Source organism: Homo sapiens, chromosome 7, assembly GCF_000001405.40.
Source record: "Homo sapiens chromosome 7, GRCh38.p14 Primary Assembly".
NCBI classification, from domain to species: Eukaryota; Metazoa; Chordata; class Mammalia; order Primates; family Hominidae; genus Homo; species Homo sapiens.
In genome coordinates, this window is record NC_000007.14 from 156,091,288 (window position 1) to 156,097,723 (window position 6,436).

The window sequence follows — 6,436 nt, forward strand, 5'->3', positions numbered from 1 at the left end:
GAACCACCATCAAAGCTGTATTCCCAAAAGCAGCCACGCAGGAAGCTCTAGCACAGCCTCTAGTGCTGGGGAGCCCTGAAAACTTGATGTGCAGTGACAGAGCCACACACAGAAAGCCATGCAGTGCATGGTTCCCTTCCATGCAATGCCCAGTACAGGCAGATCCAAAGAGACAGGAGGCGGATGAGTGGGCCGCAGGCTGGAGTGGAGCAGGGAGGTTGCGAGGATTGCGAGAGACTGTGAATGGACTCAGGGTTTCTATCAGGGGTGATGATAGTGCTCAAAAGGTGATTGTGGTGATGGCTGCATAACTCTGTGAATGTTCTAGAAACCGCTGAATTGTACATCTTAAACCAATAAGTTGTGTGGTGTGTGAATTGTATCTCAAGAAAGCTGGTGAGGACGGGGTAGACTGCTCCCCACCTCAAAAGCAGCCACATCAGAGCAAATGAGGCTGCCTCTGAGTGGAGTGAGACCTCAGCCAGCAGAAGATGGGCCCCGGCACCTGCCCAAGCATCGGCCCCCAGGAGGCTGATCCCAAGGGAGATGACTGCTTCTCTGACCTCACAAGCAAGACGCGCTCCCTGAAGGCTGCCCAGGGGTGTCAGGAAGAGTGTTCGGCCCAAGGAAAGACCCCCGGGTCCTCACCTACCCTGTCCTCTTCCTCTCCCTATTGCATTCCCTGCACGTGTTGAGGAAATCTCTGCTGAAGTAAATTCATTTTCTAAAGAGGGAGCCCAGATTTGCAGGCGTGGCTGCCCCAGCACAGGGAATAGAGGCTTCTGGTCTGGGATTTTCTAAAGGCAGTGAATGCAGCCTGGGGACTGAGGGAGAAGAGGAAATGCACCCCCACCCTAAGGCCCTTTCCAGACAGCTCTGAACCCTCACATTCCTCCCTCCTCGTACTGGAGGCAGGGCAGGTGCCCCCAAAAATGGAATACTGGCCCGCATTACTTAACAATGGGGATGTGTTCTGAGAGAGGCATCTTTAGGCGATTTTGTTGTCATGCAAACTTCCTAGAGTGCTCTCACAGACACCTGGACACCTGGATGAGATAGCCTCTGCACGCCTGGGCCGGAGGGTGTAGCCCACGGCTCCCAGACAGTAAACCTGGACAGCATGGTACCGTACCATGCACAGTAGGCAACTGTCACACAGCGTTGAGTATTTGTTCATCTGAATACATCTGCACAGAAAAGGTACAGTCAAAACACGCGTGAAAGATAAACAGTGGGACGCCTGTGTGGGGCCGTCACCATGAGTGGAGCTCGCAGGCCTGGAAGTTGCTCTGGGTGAGTCGGGGAGTGAGTGGTGGGCAGATGTGAAGGCCTGGGACATGGCTGCATACCACAGTGACTTTATAGCACTCTACACTTAGGCTGCACCCCACTGATTAAGACATTCTCTTTTTTTCTTTTCTTTTCTTTTCTTTTTTTTTTTTTTTTGAGATGGAGTCTTGCTCTGTCACCCAGGCTGGAGTGCAATGGCGGAATCTCGGCTCACAGCAACCTCCGCTTCCCGGGTTCAAGCGATTCTCCTGCCTCAGCCTCCTGAGTAGCTGGGACTACAGGCATGCACCACCACACCCGGCTAATTTTTTGTATTTTTAATAGACACGGGGTTTCACCATGTTAGCCAGGATGGTCTCGATCTCCTGACCTCGTGATCCACCCGCCTCGGCCTCCCAAACTGCTGGGATTACAGGCATGAGCCACCGCGCCCGGCCAGCATTTTCTTTATTTAATAGCAAATTAACCTTAGCTTGCTGCACCTTTTTTACTTTACACACTTTTAACTTTTTCAAACTTTTTGACTATTTTATCATAACACTTAGCTGAAAACACACATTGTATTGCTGTACAAAAATATTTTCTTTCTTTATATTCTTATTCTGTAGCCCTTTTTCCCTATTAGAATTTTTTTTTTTTTTTTTTTTTTTACTTTTTAAATGTTTTTGTTTCAAACGAAGACACAAGCATTCACATTAGCCTAGGCCTATACTGGGTCAGGATTCTTAGCGTCACTGTCTTCCACCTCCACGTCCTGTCCCACTGGAAGGTCTTCAGGGGCATAATGTGGAACTGTCATCTCCCGTGGTAACAATGCCTTCTTCTCAACACCTCCTGAAGGGACCTGCCGGGGATGCTTTACAGTTGACCTAGAAGGAACTCTCTCTAAAATAATGATAAAAAGTCCGTGCAGGAGGTTTGTTTACACCAGCATCGCTGCAGACGCGTGAGTAATGGGTGGCACTGTGACGTTGTGATGGGTGATAGGAGCTTTTCATCCTGTTGAAATCTTATGGGGCCACCATGGCATAGGTGGCCCATTGCAGAGGGAAATGTCATTAGCAGCTCATGGCTGTGCGGTGGTAGTTTTGTTGGTCACGTGGTGGGAGGTAGGGGCCAGAGAAAGGAAGGTATGGGTTTCTGTGGCCTGGGACACCCAGGACCCCATGGAGAGGCAGGCTAAGAGGGGGCCCCAGGTCCCTGAAAAGTTAGGGGGTGATATGGTTTTCGTTGTGTCCCCACACAAATCTCACCTTGAATTGTAAGAATCCCCACATGTCAAGGGCAGGGCCAGGTGGAGATAATTGAATCACAGGGGTGGTTTCCCCCATACTGTTCTCGTGGTAGGGAATAAGACTCATGAGATCTGATGGTTTTAAAAATTGGAGTTCCCCTGCACACGCTCTCTTGCCTGCCGCCATGGAAGAGGTGCCTTTGCTTCTCCTTTGCCTTCTACCACGATTGTGGGGCCTCCCCAGCCATGTGGAACTGTGAGTCCATTAAACCTCTTTCCTTTAGAAATTACCCAGTCTCGGGTATGTCTTTATTAGCAACGTGAAAACAGGCACACTCTTCACAGGGGGAATGCTAGCTACTCCACAGTTCTCCATGATTAAGCTCCACAATTCTCCATGATTAGGCTCCATTCTGATGGACAGGACAGGCATTTTGGAGTTGGAGGTGTAGGGTGTGAGGAATGTCTGGTGTAGGAGAAGCTCTGCCTCATGTAATGGAACCGTTATTTAACTCCACTTAAAAAATTCAATCAAATCTCATAAAAACGCATGATAAAGCCAATGGCACAACAGGGAGGTGTGTGTGGTGAGGAGCCCCCTCCCCAGCCCACCCCAGTCCTACCGCTCAGGTTCATTGTGATCTGTGGCTGACCAGGTGGGAGGGGACCCCGTCTCATTTGGTCTAAACATTGAGTGACAGCCGGTAGGCAGCTCCCAGCCTGCCCACCCCTCAGGGGTCACAGACACTCCCTAGAGGCACCTAGGGTGGGTGTGTGCCCTGCAACACTCACAGTGACTCAGCAGGTGCTAATTTGCCTGGGGTCTGGGACAGCCCTGAAGAGCAGCGTGCTCTGTCCTTGAGCTGACTGTGAGCCACCAGGCCTCCCTCCTGCCATCTGGCTGGACTTACCCAAGGCCATAGGACTTGGCTGGTGTCGGCCCTCTAAGTAACAAGTGACTGTTTGCTAATCGGCCACCACATGCCCCGTGTCAGGCTGAGTTTGATTCCTGGATGACCTGAACATCCACCGAGCAGAAGCTTCGCGGGGACATGCTGAGTGGAGGTAGCGGCAGGCAAGGAGCATGAAGCCAGGTCTGCAGTCAGCCTCATGCCAGGGTGGCCAGCAGTCTTGTGGCCAGAAGGGGGGCCTCAGAGAGCAGACCTGGAGTGACTGGGAGCTGCAGGTGGACCTGAGGTAGGCAGGCCTGGGGCCAGGCGGGCATGCAGGAGACGCTTAGGCATGGGACCCTAAGGAAGCCGGCTCCACTGCCTCCTGTGTTCCCTGGGCCCACTGCACCCCAAGCCATGGCACACAGACCCCTGGGAACCCCATCTCCTGGGCTTTCCAGCCCTCTGCTTCCAGCCAGGTTTGGCCAATGGGAAGCCCTGGCAGAGAGGAGAGGGGTCAGGTATTTACTGTCCCTGGCTCTCCAGCCTTACCCAGCACTGTTGATTTCTAGGGCTACAGCTCCCCCCACCCCGGCCCTGGATGTCTCTGGTTCCCTCTGATTCTCCATTCAGCTGTGCCACCGTGGCAGCGTGTTCTGTTTTTACACCCGGAGTGCTCTACGGCCTGGCTGGTGGTCTTAGCCCCTCTTATGCATCCAAAAACAGTCACATAACTCAACTCTGGGGGTCCCAAGGGAATTTGGGTCAGGATCAGAACCAGGGGCAGAAGATCAGCATCCTTGACTGCTCAGCGATGAATCCATTTCCTGTCCCCGCTGCTGGGTTCTCCTCCCACGGCTGCAGAAGGAAGCCCATTTCAGGGACACCTGCATGTGGGGTCCTGCAGCCTCTGCATGTGGAATAGAGACATCCAGGGCTCCCAGAAGGCGTCCCTGCGGAGCAGACCCCAGGCAGGTGTTTGGTTTCAGGGACAGCTTTGCATCCTTGGTGCCTCGATCCATGCTGAGTGCATAGAAGGTGCCCAGCCCACACCGGTCAGGAGGAAGGAGGGGTCCGGGTGACAGACAGACAGGATGCAATGAGTCCATGGTGATGGTCCCTGAAGAACGGGCCCAGGGAGGGGTGTGCTCAGTTCCACTTCCCCTGTGGAAGGCATCAGACCATCAGCCTCAAACCTTCCCTGGGTCTGTCCTCAGAGCAGGCTGGATGCTGCAAGCACCCCTGTGCCTCTGCAGGCAGTCGAGTCAACAGAGGTGATGATCGCCATCAGGGAGGGCCCGTGAAAAGAGCCCCAAAAAAACAAGTGGCTTTCACTTGCCACCAGCCTTTGAAATCTTCACCACTTTGTTCAAACAGCCTTTGAAGCCACTTCTGGGGCCTGGCTTGTCTCTAAATTACCTGTTGTTTTGGTTTCTTGAGTGCTTTTGGCCAGGAGTTGTTCCCTTGAAAATGCAGTGGCTTCTGTAAATATGCTTTCCCTTCCACAGACCCCAACAGACAGCCGAGGCCCTCCCTGTTCTTCTCTGTCCCCTCCCATCCCACCTGGGCACCCCTCCCCCCACGGTGATCTTATTGCTTTATTTCTGAAACCACATACATAACTTTTTCCTTTGAAACTTCCCCTGCTGCTGAAATACAAGAAAAGCAACTTCTGCTCTGCAGGGGCTGGGGTTGCTCAGCTGGGCTCCCACACAGGTGCGTCCGTGTGAGTGGTTACAGCAGAGGCCCTTTGCCGTCCAGCGATGCTGCTGGAACCTCTCACCACTGGGTTGCAAGCAGGCCTAAGTGGGCAGAATCAAGAATCAAGCCCACCTCCCAGGCATCCGTGCCGCCCTTCCCTAGCCTTCTCTGAGTGCTGGAGCTGTGGACCTGGCATTCCTGACCTTGAGGAGGAGGGTGTGTAGGTCTAAGGGGACATCCTGCAGGACTCAGTAGGACTGTTGGGATAGGGAATGAGATGAGGGGCCAGGACTCCCACGGAGTGACAGCCAAAACAAAGGTCCCAGCCCTGGTGGGGCAGCCTGTTTGGGACAATGTGGCTGGAAGGGGAAGCTAGAGGTCTTAATAGGCGCTAAGTATTGAGCCAAGACACTGGTGCTGTGCTGTAGTGTGTGAACTCTAGGAAGCCTCTTGTGGGGACTCCTGCCATTTCTTTGTTTATATTGGCTCTTTTAAGGGTAAAATTTATGCAGCAACACATGTCTGCTGAGGAAGTCTTATGTGTCAGCGAGACTCCAGGCACGTGGGGCCCGTCATCGCACAGAGCAGAAAACACTTCCCTCACAGCACTCGCATTGGACTGAAGCAAACACGGACCTGGGTGCCGTGTTGCCGTGGGGGGTACATACTGGGGAACCAGTGGGTGGGAGAAGGCAGATGGCACTGCCGTGGGCGGCCTTTCTCCCATGGTGCAGACCTGACCCCCACCCCTGTTTCCACAGGGCTGTCCCGCAGCCCCACAGACGGTGGCGGTAGAGGGATAGCTGGGCAGGGAGCCTTGTGGAAGACCACCGTGGTAGGGACAGAGGGAGAGACACCGGGGGGTCTTCAGAGCTTGGCTTCTCGTTCTGAACACTTGAGAAATGTTGTGCTTTTGACCAAAAGAGAGAACACAGGCTTGGGGGCTCCGGCAGCAGAAAGATAACTGGTGGGCATCTGAACCTGTGGAGTCCCTGGGGCATCCACGCTGGTGACATCACGACTGGATTGGAGCAGGGGAGGGGTCCCAGATGAAAAGTGGAAGGGTCACCTGCTTGTAGCTGAGAGAGAGCAGGAAATTGGAGTTCTGCCCCTGCCTCTCTACTCCTTACTTCTCAAAGATCCCTCTGTGTCCTGACGGGCTTGGCCTCTCCCTTGTCAAGCCTTCTCAGAGGAAAAATCTGATTTGTGTTGGGATGGAAGTAAAAGTAGCTGAAAATAAACTGTTAGGCCTATGTCCACTACAGCCTTCCAGAAGGGTTTGCGTTTGCGTGGGGATTAGAGCATCAGGCAAAGGGGCTTT

General features: G+C 53.4%; 1 annotated feature.

The window, feature by feature from the left end:
- Positions 516-1,015: an enhancer, noted in NCBI's record as "H3K27ac hESC enhancer chr7:155884497-155884996 (GRCh37/hg19 assembly coordinates)". NCBI's record gives its function as "activates a minimal SCP1, AML or CMV promoter by ChIP-STARR-seq in primed H9 embryonic stem cells {active_cell/tissue: H9 hESC(primed)}" and the evidence as "EXISTENCE:reporter gene assay evidence [ECO:0000049][PMID:30033119]".